Source organism: Homo sapiens, chromosome 5 (genome assembly GCF_000001405.40).
Source record: "Homo sapiens chromosome 5, GRCh38.p14 Primary Assembly".
NCBI lineage: Eukaryota > Metazoa > Chordata > Mammalia > Primates > Hominidae > Homo > Homo sapiens.
In genome coordinates, this window is record NC_000005.10 from 116770446 (window position 1) to 116793870 (window position 23425).

At 41.0% G+C, this 23425-nt stretch overlaps 1 long non-coding RNA gene across 1 annotated transcript in view, besides 2 other annotated features; it reads left to right on the top strand.

Annotated features, from left to right (window-relative positions):
- The window catches only part of LOC105379133 (uncharacterized), a 49950-nt gene that overhangs the window by 6012 nt on the left and 20513 nt on the right, over positions 1-23425 (top strand). The gene's annotated exons all lie outside the window — the stretch shown is intronic.
- Positions 452-1114: an enhancer, noted in NCBI's record as "OCT4-NANOG-H3K27ac-H3K4me1 hESC enhancer chr5:116106593-116107255 (GRCh37/hg19 assembly coordinates)". NCBI's record gives its function as "activates a minimal SCP1, AML or CMV promoter by ChIP-STARR-seq in naive H9 embryonic stem cells {active_cell/tissue: H9 hESC(naive)}" and the evidence as "EXISTENCE:reporter gene assay evidence [ECO:0000049][PMID:30033119]".
- Positions 14320-14557: a silencer, noted in NCBI's record as "fragment chr5:116120461-116120698 (GRCh37/hg19 assembly coordinates)". NCBI's record gives its function as "represses an EF-1alpha promoter that drives an FKBP-Casp9 reporter gene in an ReSE screen in K562 erythroleukemia cells {active_cell/tissue: K562}" and the evidence as "EXISTENCE:reporter gene assay evidence [ECO:0000049][PMID:32094911]".

Consider the following 23425-nt stretch of genomic DNA (forward strand, 5'->3'; position numbering starts at 1 on the left):
AGAAAGACCACACCTTCAGCACTTTTAGAAATGTTGTCGTAAAGCAGTAAAGATTCCTTTGCAAATGAATTAACACGATTTTTCATGTCCACATGTATTTTCATTAATTATGCTTGCTTAAAATAGCGTACATGCATGTAAACTAACATCTTATATTCACCCATTTAAAATTCACTGGGAAGGCCGGGCACAGTGGCTCACGCTTGTAATCCCAGCACTTTAGGAGGCCGAGGCAGGTGGATCACGAGGTCAGGAGTTCGAGACCAGCCTGGCTAACGCGGTGAAACCCTGTCTCTAGTAAAAAATACAAAAATTAGCTGGGCGTGGTGGTGCACACCTCTAGTCCCAGCTACTTGGGAGGCTAAGGCAGGAGAATCGCTTGAACCCGGGAGGCAGAGGTTGCAGTGAGCCAAGATCGTGCCACTGCACTCCAGCCTGGGCAACAGAGCAAGACTCCATCTCAAAAAAAAAAAAATTCACCTAGAGATGTCTGCTGAACATGGAGAAACAAAATAAAACAAAACAGGATATGTCTGACTCAGAAGTTTACTTCCCTGAGATGCCAAGAAAGAAACCCACCTACTTGCCACCCTTTCTAATTTGCATCTCCTTTGTTTCATAGTAGATCAGATTTACCTTAGAAAAAGCCCTTGATGGTAACCAAGCAGAGGCCTTAATGTTCCTGACAAATGTGCTGTAGCATCAGGTACTCAGTGGCTGTGAATGTTTTTGTGAAACCTGCTGTGCACCAACGTTTTTAGCTCTCCAGGAACCAGTAGCTCCTATGCTGACTGTCTGCTCTAGCTTAAAGCCAGATTCCCTCTTCAGGTACAGAGGGGCTGCAGAACATGGCTTTGCTGAAGACACACCTTGGACCTGGAGGTTTATCTCTGAAGGGCTGGATTCTCTTATTGCGTTCTTCAAAAAAAGAGGAAAGCTCTTTTGCTTATAAGATACTATTATTTTAACAAAAACGTTAGGGTTTGCCTAGACTGAAGACCTCTGTGAAAACCTAGCTTTTAAGAAAATACCATAAAACATTTTTTAATGCCACTTTAGCGTGAGAGGGTCCTCTTCAATGTGTGTGGCCAAACTGAGCCCGAAGTACTTTTCCTCCTAGCTCTAAAATGGGGCATATGGAAGTGATTGTCAGGAGAAGGCAGCTGCTGCAGACACAGGGTGAAGATTTCGCAGCAACACCCAAAGCCGGTTCTGGAAGCCGTGGAACAATGTAAGTTCTGTTGTCCAGGAATGCGTTCTCAACACAGCGGTTTCCTGAATGCCCCAAGAGAGTGGGGCAGTGAGAGGCTGAAGGCCAGACAGCAGGGTTACCTTTCCTGTTCTGTGCAGACAAGATTCATTACTCCCTAGTGATGTTTTAAGTGAATGTATAGCATTCATTCATAGACAATGTCTAGTTAGGTAATGTTAGCATGAAGGGTAAATTCTAAATGTGAAGGAATATACACATGACTTTGACTAATCAACATACTATCCCTGGAAAACATGTTGGAACTGCAAAAACAAAACAAAACAGAAAAATAGAGTGAAGTGATTCAGAGGTTGTGAAACCCTAAATTTTTAATTAAAATTGCACAATGCAGTTCTATCGTGAGCACAAACTGGATTGAACGCCTCCTACATCAAAATCATTCTCAAATGTTTGAAGTCTGAATAACTAGTAACAAGATAAAGATGGACAACTAGACTCTTTGGATTAAATGACAAAGTTACCAACTCACCCTACTGTTCTTTTTATTTTTTTTACTTTTAGAATGTTTTGGGTACTGGGCAGACATGTCTGAACTCAGATCATCTACTTGGCTATGCTAATGTTTATTTTTCTCTTCCAAATTATCCCTCCAGCTAAAACTGTACTGGGTCCTAGACAGGGGAAAATGGCTGCTCCCGAGACCTCTCTGGAGAGCTGAATTTGCAGATGGAATCTATTAGTTGCATTTCTAAGCTTGAAAGATCATCTTCCTTTTACCTTGAAGGTAAAACTTTCCTCTCTAATAACCCAGAGTGATTTTCTTATCTGCAATTTAGATTACTGAGGCCATCTGGGGACATTTGCAAAGACTGCTGTGTTATTTTGGAAATAGGTGTCTGGCTGTACATCTGAGTACTCCTTCCCCAACTTTATGGACCATATTTTCCAAGTCCAATTTTAAAACATGGAGTGGGTTAACCCCAGCATAAAGCAGAGACAGACAATCGCTAAAAAGATGCTTTCATTTAGCCACTGATTTTAGTGTGCAATTTAAAATGGAAGGTCTTTAGAAGTATTTTAGGTTGAAGAATAAAAACAGACACACCAGAGGGAGATTTGCCAACCATATACATACACAGGCGTTAAGCCCCCTATACATAAACCAAATATAAATGGAAAGACAATGAGTGAACTGCACATATAAACAGACAAAGCCCCAGTGGATAAGTCATAAAGATCTGACAGCAAGGACCATACGTCTTTAAAACTCTCAGCTTTTCTACTCAAGTAATGTGTTATTTGTCCCAGGTTTGCAGTTCACTCATTCCACTCAACATCTTCCTTGGCACTGTTCAGTTGTCTGCTGTCTACACGTTTGGGCTCTTGGCAAATGTAGATGCTCTCAACGAGAACAGCTTCTGAGTGTTATTCAGACTCCTGATGGGCCTCAGATTGTATAAAACCAGGATTTGTAGCTCTTTAGGGATGTAACTCTGTTTGAAGCAAAATATCTTCTCACTTCTTTCCAGTACTTACATGTGGGGAGCTAATCCCAGAGCAGGAAGAGAAGGTAAGCAGTTTTTTTCTTATAACAACAGCTTACAAGTTTTTCCCAGAGGTTTGGGAAGTAGGTGAGCAAACATTAGAAAGCTGATGGATGGCCTCTGATCATCTACTTGAACAAATCCTGAGCTGTGTTTTTCCAGTATAAAACAGTGTCAAACAAATACAAGTTAGGGCTGTTACAAACCATTTTTTTAGTGTCAAATAAAATGACATATGTGAAACCATTGTAAAACCGTAAATCATTGTGCAAAATTATTATAGCTAGGGTGGAGGGAGAAACTATCCAAATTGACTTGAGAAGTCACTATTTCAGGGTGATTGAAAGTTAGAAACCACTTAGGTTCTTAGAAGATGTGTTTCCATAACACTGAGCAAATCTTCAGTCTTCACTTAACAATCTGGTCACATAATGCCTGGATTTATTCAATTTGGGTAAATATATGTTAAAATATCATTCCACCACTGTAATCTGTGGAATTGTTACCCTTCCCACCTGGTCTTGGAAGGCAGTACTACTTTGAATAGTGCTTATACCTTGAGCTCCTACTCCAGTTTTTCAGACTTTTTTGGTGTGCAAGGGTTACACTGTGACAAGTGTATTATTGGTTTGCATGGAAGGGCTGAGAGTTTAGCAAGGGTCTGTGAACAGTAAGGCCAGTGAATGTTAGGGCAACTCCCAGTACAGCTGGCCATTCGGTGGCCTTGCTGTGAGTGATCACCGCACAAGCCTTCTGAAGTGGTAGCTATTTACAAGAAGAAGGTGAAATATTCTGCCGTAACAAGGACAAGCAACAGCACAATACTTTACAAAAAGGTCGGAAGGCAGGGCACTTTACCTTGCATGGAATTATTCAGGAGGCTCAATAGCTTTGTATAGCAACGGAAGGCTTATTGACAGGAGTTAAAGGCTTCCGGAAGAGGGGACTAATTCTCTGGGACAGCCACACACACAAAGTCATTAACCCCCTGCAGGAAAGTGTGAAATTGTCCTGTATTGGAGGCTGGGTTAACTTGTGTGGCCCTATTGTGGCCATTTCCCCTCCTTGTACAGTAGAGAATCTATCTCCTTCTTCTTTCCATATAATTAGTGAGTTTGGTGCCCCAAATCACCAAAGCAGTTGAGGTCCCAGCATTTTCTTCATTACCATGTGGGCCTCTTACCCCCTCCCTGCATAGTTGCATAGTTAGTGGTTGTGAGAACCAGTCTCCATTCTCTGCTAGTGTGGAAGGAAATGTGGGCTCTTTTTATCCCCTCCACTCTTCCTCACCCAGGGTGGAGGAGAAGAAGTCACATTTCTCCATTGTTCCAAAAGAGAAACTCTCCTATTTAATTGGGTCAATTTTAATTTAATACAGAAAAATGACAGGAGTGTTTCCCAAATAACTTGTTTGTAACTGCTTAGGTCATTCTAACAGTATAACTTTGGACAAATTCCTATGAACACTACAGAGGAAAAAAAAAGAATTCCTAGCTGAGAGGTGTTGATGGAATGACCAAAAAACTCTACTGTCTGATTAGCAGATCAAGTGCTTTGGGTTGTCTGGGTAAATATTTAGAATAAAGGAAAAAATCAAGGACTTAAGACATACAGATGTGAATTTAGTTGGTAGCCCTGGTGCCTTCTTAGCAGAGAAATATCAAGCAATTAATTTGCTTATCCTTGTTGAGCTCTGGTTTCTCTACTTGTAAAATGAGATGAATAATGCTAACCTAATAGAAAAAAACAGAAACAGCCCTCATACTACGAATAGGGGAGTGGTTAAATAAATTAGAGTATATCTGCAGTATGGTGTATTACACAAACTTTTAAGATAGGTAGAGGCATATGTGCTGATGTGGAGAAACATATAAAAATATTAAGTGGATAAAAGCAAGATGTAGAACAATATGTATATCAGATTTCCTTTGGTGTAATAAGTAAAAGAATTTTACATCAGGAGATATGCATCCCCATATGTGCTTAATAATGAGGGGGATAGGAATTATAAAAAACAGTTAGAAGTTAACTTGAGGGAGAGGAATGGAAAGTTGGGCAGGAGGAGGGAAGTTAACATTTTTAATTTATATTTTTCTCTGTTATTTAGGTTTCCTAGCCAGGTCTGTATGTTACTTTTATTTTTAAAATGTCCACATAGTTTATTTGCCTAGTAAGATTATGAACCTTTTTTATATTTTTATAGATTAAAAAGTAAAAACCTTTGAAATTAGTATGGGAATTAAATTAAGGAATATGTGTGAAGTGCCTAGAATAGAATGGGCATAGTCAACATTAGTGCAAATAAAATGAAGAAAAATACCTAAATAGTTTTTAACCTCCAACTTCTTTTTTTGAAACTATATTTTATGCATGAACGATTATCTTTATTATCCCATTTATTATTTTTATTGCTAATTTTTAGAAACTGTTTACTACCTGTTTCTCTGTCATTTTTGGCTTATGGTTATGACTGTCCTGGATGTGGTGAAAGATCACTAGATTGGTAGTAGAACCGGATTTGCCAATAATTACTGTAATTTGTGGCAAGCAGGTCATTTGATCTTTCTGAGCTTTTGTTCCCTCAACTATTTAGCAAGTCATCTGGACGATCTCTAAGGTCTCTCTAAACTCTAAATTTTCATATCCATTTGCCACTGAATTTGGTGCAGCTGAAACCAAGAGTTTGAATTAGTAGGCCGTCAGAGAGTTTGTAGCAGGACAAGCAGGACAAGCTGCAGACAAAACTACTCAGACACCGAGTTAAAGAAGGAAGGGGTTTATTCGGCCGGGGGCATCGGCAAGACTCCTGTCTGAAGAGCCGAGCCCCCGAATGAGCAATTCCTGTCCCTTTTAAGGGCTCACAACTCTAAGGGGGTATGCGTGAGAGGGTCGTGATCGATTGAGCAAGCAGGGGTTACGTGACTAGGGGCTGCATGTACTGGTAATTAGATCGGAACAAAAAAGGATAGGGATTTTCACAGTGCTTTTCTATACAATGTCTGTAATCTATAGATAACATAACCGATTAGGTCAGGGGTGGATCTTTAACTACCAGGCCCAGGGTGTGGCGCCGGGCTGTCTGCTTGTGGATTTCATTTCTGCCTTTTAGTTTTTACTTTTTCTTTCTTTGGAGGCAGAAATTGGGCATAAGACAATGTGAGGTGTGGTCTCCTCCCTTAAGTTCAAAGATAAAAGAGAAAAGGAATATCATAAAGAAAAGTTTGAAGTTAGGAAATAGTTATCTAAAACCAACCCAATCTGTTACAATAGACACAGACACTAAATCACTCACTGCACTTCTCAATCAGTAATTTAAAGCTATTTCTGCCCATGGATACTCTACCATTACATAAAAGACTGCTAAGATAAGCTTTACATTTTTCTTCCAAGTTGAGTTTTGTTGATAAATTATTTTCTTTTTGATTATTTGTTTTCAATCTACAAGCAAGGTAAATGCTTTGGAGTCCACAGTTATTTACTTACACAGGGGTGGAAAGGTGTTACCTTGTCTTCATCCATCTTAAGGATCATAGCCTACACTCCAATAACAAAACAAAAGACAGGTCAACAAGAGAAAAGCTCAAACAATCTATTTAATCAAAGTTGTATGTGACAGGGGTGACTTCAGAAATGAAGAGCCAAAGACCCAGGGAAAACTGCCGATTTTTATGCTCAGGTTGAATGAGAAATGAACAGCTCTGTAGAAATGTGATTGGACAAATGGGTATGATCTAATTAATGGTAATAGACTGAGAGGGGAAACCCAACAATGGCCTATTTAGATTCTTCTTGGCATCTCTGTGTGGCATTCGTTTCCTTCTGGACATAAGACCGGACACCTGTCACATGAGGCTCTTCAAAGGAGAAGGGAGAAAGTCAAAGAATGTCCTTTCTAGGCTTTATGGCTTGCTTTGGGGAAGAGGAGTTCTAGTTTCTGTGACCTGCCTTGGCGAAGAGGAATTCTGGTTTCTACAAATTATTTCGAGGGGAGATAGAGGGGTGAAAGACAGGAGGATGAGAGAAGGTCCGAAAGACTTTGCTTCTGAGGCCCTTCCATTCTCCTCCAGTTCAAAATATTCAGCACACAGGGTACTGTATTTTGAAGTATTGTGTTCTGGAGCCTAACACTTTTTTTCCTGTTTGTTGGAGTTGCAGGGAAAAGATTTCTTTACTCACCTATTTTTAGGTTCATAGTTGAGGTGCCTATAACTAAAGGTAGATTAACAAGAGAAAAGCATAACAAATGTATGTAATGTAAGTTTTATGTGAGGCCAGGCACGATGGATCATGCTTGTAATCTGAGCTCTTTGGGAAGCCAAGGCAGGTGGATCACTTGAGGTCAGAAGTTCGAAACCAGCCTGGCCAACACGAAACCAGCCTGGCCAACATGGTGAAACCCCATCTCTACTGAAAATCCAAAAAGTTAGCTGGGAATGGTGGAGGCACCTGTAATCTCAGCTACTCTGGAGGCTGAGGCAGGAGAATTGCTTGAACCTGGGAGGGGGGCATTGTGACAGAGTGAGAATCCATTTGAAAAAAAAAAAAAAGGAAGTCACGTCCAATCAGGCTCATGATCAGGGGGCTTCAGGTAGAACTTCTCCTTAGCCTTCCAAACTCTTCCCCCAAAGTTATTCTAGGGGCTCTATTTGAGAGAATATGATGATGATTTATTTTAAATCAAGAGTTCTGAGAAGTACACAGAAACCAGAAAATGCACCCAGAAATTAGAGATTATCAAATTATCCTGAATGTAGGGAATTCCAATGACACTGATTCTCATTCTTCATTCCATTTTGAATGGTTCAAGATGAAGGGGAGCTACTGACTGCTGAATAGAGACGAGGAAATCTCCATTTCCATGCTTGCTTCCGGGCTCTGTGACTCGCTGTTGCAGCTGACTGGCTGTAACAGTGTGAGGTCTCAGGCGCTTGGAGGGAGACGTGCATCTGGGTAGAAGCTGTGCCATAAGGACAGAACTCCCACAGCCAGCCGGGTCACTCCTTCCTACCCTCTGGGAGCGTTCCCACCAACTCTTGTGATCTCAGAGGCACTGCCTGCCAGAGTAAGGACCCTCCTCAGAGACCCACAGGCATCGCAGTGCAGTCTGTGAGGCACTTGTTAGCTATGCACAGTGGGCTGTCTGTCACTGCTTGGAGCCTACCTGCTGCTGGGAGAGACGGCTCTCTAAGCACAAAGTAGCCTGTGTGAAACCTCGGGCATGGTTGATAGAATCTATTGCCAATGGTGGGTCTATACATCACAAGGGGTGAAGACAGCCTTAGAATCCTAGGCACAGAGCAAAGAAAACCCCTTTGAGACCAACCCCACCTAATAAAACGGGGCACACCATGTGGCTGGTAAACATGCCTTCATCAGATAGCAAAGGGAAGCAAAGATTGTTGAAAACGTTGACAAAATGTTCAAGTTCAATGGCCCTGGGTCACGTCCAAGTAGAGCAAATGGTAATAGTAAGGGATTCTAATTAAGAATTCCTGTTTTTATTTGAGTCAGCTTGGTGAAAAGCGGGAGAGGTTTCTTGACATTTCTTGATTTGATTGTTCTCAGCTTATAAAACAAATTCTATTTTCCCCTACAATTGTGTTAAATTACTGTCTCCAAAGAAACATTTTGCATATGGATGCCCTCTGGTCTCCCTTCCCCTGATGTGTCTTTTATGCAGCCTGGGAGGGTCATTTGCAGTACAGCAAGGGTTGTTTGGCCCAGGCACACAGACAACTGGAGAGTTTTAAAGAGTATAATCTGACTGTATCCTGTAAGTAGCTACTTTGATCTCTTATACCAATAATTATGCTTCTCAGAAAATAGAGGGTGGGGGGAGGAATCACTGCAAGCCAAAACTTTTGCTGAAAGATAAGATGTTATGATTTTCTGCTAATTATCTTACTGCAATTAAGAAGTTGAGACTGATGGCTTAAAGCTTCCAATACATAAAAATCAGCAGCCATTTTAGTTGAAATGCAACATCCTGCAACCTGTTTTTAATTGACTTCCCTCCTCATCACTCTTCAAAGTATGGCTTTGCCAAAGCCACCAGATTCTGACTTTGAAGCGCTGTTGGAAAAGAGTAAAAACAAAGGCCAGAAGTCAAGGGCTTTCAACTACATATGTTTTAGGCCAAATTTACAAATGTCTTTTTTTTTTTTTTTTTTTTTTTTTTTTAGTTTCTCAAAAGGTTACTTTTAGTGAGCTTTTTGATCTGAAAAAACAAAAACAGAAACCAAGACACCCCATATTGATCATGTTTAAAAAGAAAATGTTATTTAACAATTGGTCTAGTCACAAATGTCTGCTTTCCTAATTTTTTTCTGAAGATTGAAGTTTCACATTTCTGATAGGTACAAAATTGCAGATCAAGTTTTTCCCTTTGAAATGTGTCATATAATGCAACTGTCACATAAGGGCCAATGGCTGGTTTAGGCTACAGAAGACATCATGGAACAAGAACTTGGTGAATCCTATGGACAAGATCTGTGGCTCAGTTATAGGGTCCATGGTCTGTGCTCAGGGAACGCATCCTTATTTATAACCATCTTAAATTATAACATTTGCATTATGAAAATAGAAGTTCAATAATTTGGTATTTAAATGAATTATTTGCCAAGTTCAGACACACATCAAGAATGTTTGCAAATTTATGAAGGAAAACAAAGTATCCCAGCCAATTTCACAAAGAATAGTTTTATAACAGATTCAGATAAATGCGAAAACCTTAAAGAAAAAGTGCTCCTTGAAAGTGCCAACAAGACATGCAAAGTGTTAGTTTTTACAGGGCTAGAATACAATACAGCCCATTTAGTGTGGTGCCCATTCATGACTCTTCAAGTCAAGGCTGATGTGTGTTTCTATCTTGGCATGACCTTCTCATTCCGACAATGTAGAGTGTCTAAGGATCTGTATAGAACAACGGCTCACATTTGGATTGTAAACGAGGAAAAATTTTCTTTTTCTTTTTTTTGAGATGGAATCTCGCTCTGACGCCCAGGCTGGAGTGCAGTGGCACCATCTTGGCTCACTGCCACCTCTGCCTCCCAGGTTCAAGAAATTCTCCTGCCTCAGGCTCCTGAGTAGCTAGGATTACAAGCGTGCACCACCACACCCAGCCAAATTTTTTTTGTATTTTTAGTAGAGATGGGGTTTCACTATGTTGGCCAGGCTGGTCTCGAACTCCTGACCTCAAGTGATCCACCCATCTCAGCCTCACAAAATGTTGGGATTACAGGCATGAGCCACCACGCCCAGCTTCTTCTTCTTTTTTTTTAATTTGAGATAGAGTCTCACGCTGTTGCCCTGGCTGGAGGGCAGTGGTATGATCTTTGCTCACTGCAACCTCCGCCTCCTGGATTCAAGCCATTCTCATGCTTCAGCCACCTGAGTAGCTGAGATTACAAGTGTGTGCCATCATGCCCAGCTAGTTTTTGTATTTTTAGTAGAGACAGGGTTTCACCATGTTGCCCAGGCTGGTCTCAAACTCATGGTCTCAACTGATCTGCCCACCTCAACCTCCCAAAGTGCTGGGATTATGAGCATGAGCCACTGTGCCTGGCACATATATATATATAACTCATCATAGGCTGGGATTCTGTAAACTAGACTGATAAAAGAAAATTAACAGGAGAAACTGCCTGGGCATGGTGGCTCACTCTTATAATCCCAGCACTTTGGGAGGCCGAGGCAGGCAGATCACGAGGTCAGGAGTTCGAGATCAGCCTGACCAACATGGTGAAACCATGTCTTTACTAAAAATACAAAAATTAGCTGGGCATGGTGGCGCACCCCTGTAATCCCAGCTACTCAGGAGGCTGAGGCGGGAGAATTGCTTGAACCTGCCAGTTGGAGGTGAACCTGGGAGCTGGAGGTTGCAGTGAGCCGAGATCACACCATTGCACTCCAGCCTGGGTGACAGAGCTAGACTCCGTCTCAAAAAAAAATTAACAAGAGAACCTGAAGTTTATTAACAAACACATGCATCACATTTGTATATGGGAGAACTCAGTGATGATTAAGTAAAAATGTGACTAGAGGCCAGGCACAGTAGTTCATGCCTGTAATCCCAGCAATTTGGGAAGCCACGGTGGGAGAACTGCTTGAAGCTAGGAGCTCAAAACCAGGTTAGACAACAAAGAGAGACCCTGTCTCTACCAAAAAAAAAAGTGGTTAGAATTTGCACTTATATAGCATCTTTACAAAAGAAAATTATATTTGACAGCAGTAACAAGACAAAGGAAAAAGATTTTGAGCTTCTAGGGAGGCAAATTGTGGGAAGGCAGCCAGGTGCGGTGGCTCATGCCTGTAATCCCAGCACTTTGGGAGGCCGAGGTGGGAGGATCACCTGAGGTCAGGGGTTCGAGCCCAGCCTGGCCAACATAGTGAAACCCCATCTCTACTAAAAATATAAGAATTACCGGGGCATGGTGTTGGGCATCTGTAACCCCAGCTGCTCGGGAGGCTGAGGCAGGAGAATCACTTGAACCTGGGAGGCAGAGGTTGCAGTGAGCTGAGATTGCACCACTGCACTCCAGCCTAGGCAACAGAGCAAGACTCCATCTCAAAAAAAAAAAAAAAAAATTGTGGGAAGGCAAATATGTGGGAAAACTAGTAGTAGATAAGAGCTTTTTAGTAAGGTTTGTCATGTAGATTTCATTGGTTCCATCTGTTTATTTATTTTTTATTTTTTTTGAGACGGAGTCTCGCTCTGTCACCCAGGCTGGAGTGCAGTGACGCAGTCTTGGCTCACTGCAAGCTCCATCTCCGGGTTCACGCCATTCTCCTGCCTCAGCCTCCCGAGTAGCTGAGACTACAGGCGCCCGCCACCTCGCCCAGCTAATTTTTTGTATTTTTAGTAGAGACCGGGCTTCACCATATTAGCCAGGATGGTCTTGATCTCCTGACCTCATGATCCGCCTGCCTCGGCCTCCCTAAAATCTGGGATTACAGGCGTGAGCCACCATGCCCGGCCGGTTCCATCTGTTTAGAGTTGTCACCAGTGATTAACTGATTAACTTCTATCCCTCTTAGTAGAGAGGGGAGGAAGGACACCTTTACAAATTTATAACCTACTTTTAGGCACACCAGGGTACACAGAGAGCTTTTCTTGTATCTCCTTCTTCTCAATTGCCTATGATTCAAAATAATCCTTATGCAAAAGTGGCATATTTTGAAGCAGCATATTCTGCTGTATTAGTCTGTTCTCATGCTGCTAATAAAGACCTACCCAAGACTGGGTCATTTATAAAGGAAAGAGGTTTAATTGGCTCACAGTTCCACATGGTTGGGGAGCCCTCACAATCATGGTGGAAGGTGAATGAGGAACAGAGTTACATCTTACATGGTGGCAGTCAAGAAAAGCTTGTGCAGGGGAACTCCCTTTTATAAAACCATCAGATCCCATGAGACTTATTCACTATCATGAGAACAGCATGGGAAAGACCTGCCCCCATGATTCAATTACTTCCCATCGGGTACCTCCCATGACACGTGGGAATTATGGAAGCTACAATTCAAGATGAGATTTGGGTGGGGACAAATCTATATATAGCCAAACCATATAGAGCTTCTAGGTCGGCAAATTGTGGGAAGGCAGCTGGGTGTGGTGGCTCATGCCTGTAATACCAGCACTTTGGGAGGCCAAGATGGGAGGATCACCTGAGGTCATATATTTATGGTTACATATTTAACCAAATATATAGCCAAACCATATAATCTGCTATCCTTGATGCCCTTGCATTAAGAAACCTCCTTACCCCACTTTTTCTTTTTTGAGGCAGAGTTTTGCTCTTGTTGTCCAGGCTGGAGTGCACTGGCATGATTTCAGCTCACTGCAACCTCCGCCTCCTGGGTTTAAGTGATTCTCCCGCCTCATCCTCCCAAGTAGCTGGGATTACAGGCACCTACCTCCATGCCCAGCTAATTTTTGTGTTTTTAGTAGGTACAAGGTTTCACCCTGTTGACCAGGCTTGTCTCGAACTCCTGACCTCAGGTGACCCACCCACCTTGGCCTCCAAAAGAGCTGGGATTACAAGCGTGAGCCACCGTGCCTGGCCCTCCTCACCCCACTTTTAAGCTATTCCATTCCTGTGAGGTAAGCACTATTGCTTTCTTTTTTTCATATATATATATATATATATATATATATATATATATATATATATATGAAAAATGTTGGCTTGCTGCACCCATTAACTCGTAATTTACATTAGGTGTATCTCCTAATGCTATCCCTCTCCCCTCCGCTGACCCCACAATAGGCCCCGGTGTGTGATGTTCCCCTTCCTGTGGCCAAGTGTTCTCATTATTCAATTCCCACCTATGAGTGAGAACATGCGGTGTTTGGTTTTTTGTCCTTGTGATAGTTTGCTGAGAATGATGGCTTCCAGTTTCATCCATGTCCCTACAAAGGATATGAACTCATCAATTTTTATGGCTGCATAGTATTCCATCGTGTATATGTGCCACATTTTCTTAATCCAGTCTATCATTGTTGGACATTTGGGTTGGTTCCAAGTCTTTGCTATTGTGAATAGTGCCGCAATAAACATAGTGTGCATGTGTCTTTATAGAAGCATGATTCATAATCCTTTGGGTATATACCCAGTAATGGGATGGGGTAAGCACTATTGCTTTCTCTATTTTATGGATGTGCATGCTGAGGTTCACAGGGATTTTGTTACGTTTAGTTAGTAGGTGAGCCAAGATGAGACTTGCACTCTTTATTCCAGGAATAACTATCATTTCTGATAGTTATAAGGGTTCTATAGAAAGTGGAGCAAGGGATTTTGTGGGGAGTGGTGGTGTGGTGGTTGGAAGGAGGATGGCTAGAAGGTGGAGATTTAGGTGGTGTGGGAGGTAGTATTTTTAGTAGAGGGCCACTGTTAACCTGTCTAAAAACATTCAAATTCATGTGTTTTCTTTCTTTCCTTCCTTCTTTCCCTCTCTTTCTTTCTTTCTTTCTTTCTTTCTTTCTTTCTTTCTTTCTTTCTTTCTTTTTCTTTCTTCCTTTCCTTTCCTTTCCTTTCCTTTCCTTTCCTTTCCTTCTTTCTTTCCTTTTTCTTTTTTTTGGAGTTGGAGTCTCACTCTGTTGCCCAGGCTAGAGTGCAATGGTGTGATCTCTGCTCACTGCAAGCTCCACCTCCCGGGTTCATGCCATTCTCCTGCCTCAGCCTCTGGAGTAGCTGGGACTACAGGCACACGCCACCACGCCCAGCTAATTTTTTTTGTATTTTTAGTAGAGATTGGATTTCACCGCGTTAGCCAGGATGGTCTCGATCTCCTGACCTCGTGATCCGCCTGCCTCGGCCTCCCAAAGTGCTGGGCTTACAGGCTTGAGCCACTGTGCCAAGCCTCATGTGTTATATTTCTGCTCTGGTCATCATATAGATTCAGCCTGTGCATTTCATGGGATCTTTTGTTGGAAATATTTTTTATTTTACAGATGGAAAACAAACAAAGACCCTAAAACAAAGAGAGGTCACAGGACTTGGTCAGTGTCACACAGCTCAGCTGATTTGTGCAAAGTTGGGGCCAGGATCTAGGTTTCCTGACTTCCAGAACTGAGCTCCTTCTACCACACTACACAGAGTCTCTACCCATGAGCCAGGCATCCTTGATGTGGCAGCAAGCCGGCCCTTCCTGCCTTATGCCGAAGGCCAGGGAACTCAAGCAGGGAGACAGACATCATGTTCTTGAGAGCTCTGAGCCATGTTCCCTGCCAGCACTCTTACCCTAACCATGCAAATAAGGATGAAGCTTATCACAAACTTACAGATTATTTAGGAGGAATCAAGCAGATTTTAGCCTTTGCTGTAAAAGCAGCACACGTGTGTGTGTGTGTGTGTGTGTGTGTTGCGTGTGTGGCAATTAGGCATGGATTTTCCAGGCCTCTAAGGACCTGTGTGTTGTGATGATTCTTTGTGGAGAATGATATACAAAAGGTTTGGCAAGGCCAGTGGTTCTCGGGCCGCATGTGCCATGCAATTCCAGACAGGTCACCTTAGACCAAAACAGTTCTTTTGTCCAGTTCCCAAAAGTTCATCTCTCGGTCTCTATGACAGAGACCTGGAAACACAAACTGGCTTCAAACAAAGCCACTCTACCATGTGTGCTAAACCCTGGCCATTCACATAAGCTGTTGTTTCAGCTCATTTCATCATCTTTGGCTCAATCCTTGGAAAAGTACTTTCATATAATTGAAAAAGCAAAACATTGTATTTTTTCACTATATAAAGAATCACGTTCATTGCAGAAAGTTTACAAATTACTGATGTACACAAAGGAGAAATTTAAATTGCTCTAATCTGACAATAATTATTGGTAAGTTGTAAGTGTAGCCTGGTCTATTTTTTATGCCTGAAGATACTTTTTTAAAATAAAAAAAATTGGATCATACTATAAATAGCTTTGTGACTGGCTAATTTTTATTTTTTTTCCTCCTAATACAATAATAATATCGGAATTTTTGTTGAGTGCTTCTACATCTCAGCTACAAAAATTTTGTAAAACAGCTACTACAATTGCTAGTTTACAGCTGAAGAGACAGAGGCTCTGAGATTAGTTATTCTTCCTCTTCATTCTCTCATTAGATAATCTCATTCTAGGCCATGCCTCACAGTTAATTTATAAATTCTAGCTCAAAAGTTTACTGTCAGCCCTGACTTCCCTTCTCAGCTTTAGACTTATATATCCAACTGCCTCCCTACTTAGTATCTTAATTTGGATCTCAAAAGTGCCTAGGACTCAACTCATCCAAAATTGTGCGTGAGTATTTTGCAGTGGGCAACACAGGAACCTGCCCTAAGCTCCGATCTTAGTCTCTTGGAATCCACGCTTGACTTTCTTGAATTTATTCTTTTTTTTTTTTTTGAGATGGAATTCTGCTCTTGTTGCCCAGGCTGGAGTGCAATGGTATGATCTCGGCTCACTGCAACCTCCGCCTCCTGGGTTCAAGCGATTCTCCTGCCTCAGCCTCCCGAGTAGCTGGGATTAAATGTGCCCACCACCACGCCAGGCTAATTTTTGTATTTTTAGTAGAGATGGGGTTTCACCATGTTCACCAGTCTAGTCTTGAACTCCTGACCTAGTGATCTGCCCGACTCAGCCTCCCAAAGTGCTGAGATTACAGGCGTGAGCCACCACACCCGGCCTTGAATTTCTTCTTTACACAGCAGCCAAAGGATCTGGTCAAAATACGAATTTGGTTACGCTACCATCAATTTATAACACTTAAGTGACTTTCCTCTGCTTTTCAGGGAAAGACCAGAATCTTTAACATGGTCCACAAAGCCAGTTGTAATTGGTCTGCCTCTCTCGCCTCAGTTCACATGGTCTTCTCATGCTCTTCACCCCAACATCCCTGACATGCTTAGTTTATTTAACTAAACTGCAATAAAATTTTGCACTTGCTGTTCCTTCTAACTGGAACGCCCTTCCTGCCACCCTGTTTGTTCTTTGCCTGGATGACTCCTACTTTCTTTTCAGATGTCAGTTCAGCCACCACGTCTGTAGATAAGGTTTCCCTGTGCCTCTTGACCAGGGCAGTTCCCCTGTATTAGTCACTGTTTTAGCACTGTGGGGGCCAAGGCCCATGGACACCTAAAGTTTTGCTAAAAAAATCACTTACATCAGGCAGATCGATTAATGATTCTGTTACATGGAACACATTTTAGATTTCTGGCTGGCTTTGGGAAAGGATGTTCTGGTTTGCATGACACACCTTGGGGAAGAGGGATTCTAGTTTCTGTGGCCAGCCTTGGGGGAGAATGGGACTGAGAGACAGGAGAACAGGGGAAGGTAGGATGAAAACTTTTGCTTCTGAGGCTGCTGCTGAGGCCTTCATTTGGTGGTATTGTTTTCTGAGCCCTGACAGCACCCTGCTATTCTTTTTTGTAGCACTTATCACAGATGTAAACTTATACCTACTTGTGTGATTCTTTAATTGAAGACTATAATTTCATTTAGACTGCAAGCTCCACAAGGGCGCGAACCACACCTGTTTTTATCTACCATTATATCTTTACTGACTAGAGCATTGGTCAGCACATATTTTTTAATAAATAATATATGTTAGATGAACTAGTTGAATGACTTTCCCCAGATAAAATGGCTGAGCCAAAATGGAAGCTAATGTTCTTTCTATTATATATGATAAAATCAGGCAGGTGTAAAGCAATAAATACATGTATATGAGGTATTTACCTAAGAGTTGACCAGGCGCAGTGGCTCAAGCCTGTAATCACAACACTTTGAAAGCCTGAGATAGAGCTCAGGAGTTTGAGACCAGACTTTGTCTCTAAAATAATAATAATAATAATAAAATTAAGAATATACTTTAGCATTCCTATTTCCCAGATTTTCCCAGATTTCTGTCTGAACCCACCTCTGTGAACTCCAACCCTTTCTACACACATAAAAGCAAGGATTTTCATTGCCTGCTGGGGAGAATTTGCTAATGTATCATGGTTTTGATTCATACTTCTTGCAGTAAATATATCCTTTGACTAACACCTAAGCCTTGGGTCAGACACAAGAGAAAAAATGAAAAAGAAAGCATGGTTCTAGACCGCAACGTGGAGAGGTATGAGATCAGAAGCAAAGTGACAGTGAGAGCAAGGGCAAGTTGGAGGTGGTGTGGACAAACAGTGGATAGAAACCAGAGAATATTTAAACTGTAAGGGACTCTAGAAATTATCTAATTTAAAATTCTTATTTTACAGAGAAATAAAATTCTCATTTTATAAAATTCTCATTTATATCACAGCCGAAGTCACACATTTAGTTATTGAAAGCTCCAGGACTAAACCTTATATACCTCCCTTGCAGAGGGTGAAATTCCCAAATACTTATGTTAGCCCATTGACAAGTTCTAATTGAAATGTGTACTATATAGTCCACAAATATTTAGTATGGAAAGTGTAGGAAAAGTAATTTGAAAGCTAGTAAACTCGTAACAACAACAATAATAACAGCAGCAGTAGTAGCAGCAGCATTTTGTGTTTACACAATGTTTTCTTGTTTGAAAAATATTTTTCGGTACTTCCTGTCATGCAATCCTTACAAAACCATTGAGGTAGACAGGGCAGGATTCTTCCTCATATGCTACATATATAGGAGGAAATATACACCCAAGAAGATAACTTGTCCAAAGCCAGCGGCTACTGAATGGTAGATCTCAGCCTCAGATTCAGATTCCTGGACTCCAAGTTTATTGCTGTCATCATTGCCTCTTGCTGCCTGAAGAGGCTTTGTTAAATGTAAAACCTTACACAGCAATTCTCCAAAATCTCCGTGAACTTTCCCACATAGGTGGAGGCTCACCTTCCAAGTTTAAGAGTATATTATGTGGAACCCATATGTAGTGACCCTGATCTTTCCTAGGCTCAGCCCTTCCCTTTCTCAGTATCAGGAAGCCAAATCTCATGGAGCTGTGATTTTGTGCCAAGTTCATCAGGGAGCACTGGATTAAGATTCTCATGTTGACAGCAACTTTGTCTTGTGAAGGTGCACAAAGCCTGCCTTATGCATTCCCTTCACACCTGGGAAGACTGGAGTATATTTCTATTTGTAAACATATATGCCTCAATACATGTAACAAACAAACAGAAATGTAGTTTCTTTGAAAATAATCTACTGTTACCCTTCCATTTCAATCATATGGTGAGTTTTGAATATATTTTTCTTTCCAGAGCCCATGAAAAGGTGTTTATTCTCCCCTTCTCTTTTAACCAGCTGGGTGCCAACATTTTCTTTCCTTCTCTTGATCTGACGTAAGTTCAGTTTTGGCTTCTGTCTGCTATTCCAGCTGGTAACCTGCAGGTAGTTGGATGAAAGAAGCTTTTTCTCAACTCAGGCAATGCACCAAGTCCCAGACACATACACACATATATACACACACACACACACAAACACTGTGGAGTACAATAGTTTGACGTACAGGATGCTCTGCAGAAAGAGGTCAGTTCGCTTCTACCCACAGTCCTCTGTTGGCCAGCTCAAGGCATTAAAACTGGCTGCTATCAGTGCAAATCAGCATCCTGGAAAAGGAAGGTCTAGGTCAAGAGGAAGGAATATCCCATCCTGAGGAAGATAGATTAGATTTGTTTGGTATGATTGCTTGGGGACAGCTTCAAAATTTACAATGCTCTGCAACTCTTAATTTAGCCTGCTATCGGTTTAAGATTACTAACCTGTATTTAGAAGAAAGACACATTCATTATTGTTATTAAGCAATCTAATTTTAGAATTATTACTAGACTAAAACTCAGGAATATAATAATTTTGAGCTAGAAATGTGACTAATAAAGCTGCCCATGTTTCTACATTTGCATATTAAAGTCTGTAATTAAAAGTAAATAGTGAAACAGGAAAACTTCTTTTGGGTAATATGGTAAAGGATGAATTGCTTTTAGCAAATATTGTTTTGATGAATGAGCTACTCAAATGGCAGATTGCCTTTTCAGATGTAATTATATTTCATTTAGATTAGAGACTGACTGTACAGCATGTTCTTTTTATTTAGGCTGGCTAGAGACCAGGGATCACCCCTAGTTATCACAAAGCATGTGCATGGCTGCTTTGGTACAGGTCAACTAGGGATCACCTCAGACTCTGCAAATGTAGAGTCGGAGACAAATGAGATGTTGAAATTAGGTAGCCTCAGGTGACTTCAGTCTACACAAATCTGGTATATAATCATACAGTTTCTTAACATGGCAAATTCTATACCTCCCTGCTTCTTATATGCATACCTCTTTTTTTTTTTTTATTCGCTGTTGTTTTGTTTTCTTGCCTACTTGCTTTGGCTAATACTTCCAAAACAGTGTTAATTAAGGATCATGATTGTAGTAATTTGTGTCTTATTCTTGACTTTGATGAGGAAACTCCTGATTTGCTTTTACTCATTCTGATGGCTGAATGTTTTAAGTTTGTATACACTATTTCTGAAAGTAGCAGCACTTATTGGTAGTCCCTGAAGTGACTTTTTCAGCATTTTATGCCCTACATGGCTTAAGACCTCTGTGGTTCTCAGTCATTGTGGTCTTACCTTCACCAATGTCTAATTAGCTTCGTCTAAGACTCTAGGGCTAGTTTCTAACTTACGTCTGGAGGAACATTTGGGAGTCTGATGTGTGGATTTCTGCCTTATTTCCAAGCCTTACGTTGTACCAAGTTCTGGTAAGTTAATCTCTGTGCTATGGTGACTGTGAACAAGAGGAATTAGGTTCAAATCCTGTTTATTCTACTCACCAGCTATTTGACCTTGGCAAGTTATTTAATTTCTATGTGCTTCCACAAATTAGGATCATAGCAGTACTTGTCTCATAAGGTTATTATGAGCTTTAAATTAAATTATGCATGTAAAAACCTTAGGAGAAAGCTTACCTGCTATCAGTTTAAGATTAGTAAGATACTCCCTAAAGGTTTGTGGTTATTACTACTATTGGAAAATATAGTAGTAATATTTTTATCATCGTTACTAGGGCGCTGCCACCAGTTATTGGGCTCATTTTAGTGGGACACGCCATTACAACATATTGACCTTTGGGATGAAGAATGTTGTTCTTTTTTTTTTTTTTTTTTGAGATGGTGTCTCGCTCTGTTGCCCAGGCTGGAGTGCAGTGGTGCAATCTCAGCTCACTGCAAGCTCCACCTCCTGGGTTCACACCATTCTCCCACCTCAGCCTCCCGAGTAGCTGGGACTACAGGCACCCGCCACCACACCCGGCTAATTTTTTTTTTTTTTAGTAGAGACAGGGTTTCACTGTGTTAGCCAGGATGGTCTTGATCTCCTGACCTTGTGATCCGCCCACCTCGGCCTCCCAAAGTGCTGGGATTACAGGCGTGAGTGCCCGGCGAAGAGTGTTCTTAAATTATCTATTGCCTGACCTCAGGTATCAGTATTCTATCTGCTGGCTAAAACTTTCTTTAAAGACTCAGTTCAGGGTTAAATTCTACTGACCAACTTCTACTTCACTTCTTGTGAGCCTATTCCCATCTAAAACATTTAACTAGAATATTCATAGCTTTTTTTTGTACTTCTTTTTTTCTTTTACAGCACTAATGCACTTATATATTAGTGCTTTTCCAAAAGTGACACTGATTAGTGATAAGGGATATTATCCCAGCTCTGCAAAATCACTGAAACAGAGTTCAAAAACATAAAATTATGTTAATCAATTTGTTCACTTAGCAAATATTCATTTAACTTAGATTCTAGGATTAACACTGTGCCAAGGCATAAAATAAATATATAATAATGTAAGATTTGATCACTACCCTTGAAGAACTTATAGTTTAGTTGAATAAGACAATGACCGTGGTTGTCCAAGGCAAAGCTGTGGAAGTGAAGGTGTGGATGAACAGCTTAGTAGGGAAGTGAGATTTGAGTTGAATCATGCAACTTTTAAAGAGAGTACAATGAGTTTTGAATGAATTTTTCGAGTCCATGAAAAAGCATTAGCTCCTTTCAATTAGTGAATGTCAACATTTTCTTCATCTTTCTCTTGAACTGAAGAAAGAGAAGGGCATTCCTGTTGGGGTACCAAGACTGGCAGTAGATTCCAATTTGGTGATATTAATTATAATTAATGCAATTAACTCAATTGATTTATTCAGCTACCCTTGCTCTACTTTCATGATTTTCCCGTTTCTGCATATTACCTGCATTATTACTTACTTAATAATTTTCTTTAAATCCCTGTTTTGTGTTTAAGTAAACTTATTTTTTGTTATTATTATCTTAAGTAGAAACATAGTATATCTTGCTAGTAAAAAGAGATAACAACAAAGTATATACATGACTGTTTAATTTAAATTCTAAAACGTTTATCTATAAACCATTTAGAATTGTCTCACATACCACTGGTGGGGAACCCTGACCTTGCCATTCTACTGTCCCTATGGGAAGGAGCACTGAATGGTTGATGGAAGTTTATTTTTTACTTTTTATTTTTATTTTTTTGAGACGGAGTCTTGCTCTGTCGCCCAGGCTGGAGTGCAGTGGCGCGATCTCGGCTCACTGCAAGCTCCGCCTCCCGGGTTCATGCCATTCTCCTGCTTCAGCCTCCCCAGCAGCTGGGACTACAGGTGCCCACCACCACGCCTGGCTAATTTTTTTTTTTGTATTTTTAGTAGAGACGGGGTTTCACTGTGTTAGCCAGGATGATCTTGATCTCCTGACCTCATGATCTGCCTGCCTCAGCCTCCCAAAGTGCTGGGATTACAGGCATGAGCCACCGCACCCGGCCAGAAGTTTGTTTTTTAATACTGCTTGACATTTCCACACTCCTCTAATTCTACTTACCTACCATCACTCTATCTTTTACTTTGTCTTATTTTCTTCATAGCATGTTTCATTTCCTAAAATCATATTATTTATTTATTTCCTTTGCTTATCTGTTTTTTATGACTAGAATATAGATTCCATGTGGGCAAGGATTTTGTCTTGATTACCTCCATTCCCCAGGGCCTGACATATATTAGGCACTCAATTTCAGGAGTTCCATGGCAATATGGTGAGAAACTGCTGTGATGCAAAAATCTGGGTTGGACCAAATAACTCTGTTTGCTAACTTAATACTTTATTACCGGATTTTTTTTTTCTTTCATGTCTTTTATTGTTTACTATGACTTTGGGCTTTGTTTATCCAACTGGGTTCCTGGACCTTTTTACTTCTCTGAGCCTATCGATTTTCAGAACTTTGGGCTCTACTTTCTTGCATTCATTTACTTCTCTATTTATTTATTTATTTTTTGAGATGGAGTCTCGCTCTGCTGCCAGGCTGGAATGCAGTAGCGCAATCTTGGCTCGCTGCAACCCCTGCCTCCCAGGTTCAAGCGATTCTCCTGCCTCAGCCTCCCAAGAAGCTGGGACTACAGGTGTGCACCACCACGCCCAGCTAATTTTTGTATTTTTAGTAGAGAGGGGGTTTCACCATGTTGGCCAGGATGGTCTCAATCTCTTGACCTCATGATCCGCCCACCTCGGCCTCAGAAAGTGCTGGGATTACAGGCATGAGCCACTGCCCATGGCCTACTTCTTCTTTTAGAAGCCAACGACTCTCCCCAAATTTTTTCTATTTAGACTTACTTCATAAGGTACTCACTGGATTCTTCTGTTCAGTAGCCATAGCATTTGTCCAAGAAGGGTGGCTATAACAATTAAATCATCCTGGATGCTGTGCTCTAATATTTAAAAGATAAACAATGGGACAATGGCACATACATTTGTCCGTCTGTACCAAGAGTAGGCTGAGGTAAAAGCTAAGATATAACTCTCAATATTAGTTCTTAAATACTGTTTGTAGTTTTCATTGTTAAGGCAATGGATGTATAATCATTAGGAATGTCCTCTCAATTTTTGCACTTTCCTTAGGCAAATAGGTTAAGAATTTGAATAAATTTATTTTTATCATTGGTTTTCAAATGTTTTATATGATACTCATATATTGTAGACTATATCAGTCTGAATCTTTTCTTTTTCTTTTTTTTGAGACAGAATCTCACTCTGTCACCCAGGCTGGAGTGCAGTGGCATGATCTTGGCTCACTGTCACCTCTGCCTCCCAGGTTCAAGTGATTCTCCTGCCTCTGCCTTCTGAGTAGCTGGGATTACAGGTGCCCACCACCACGCCCAGCTAATTTTTGTATTTTTAGTAGAG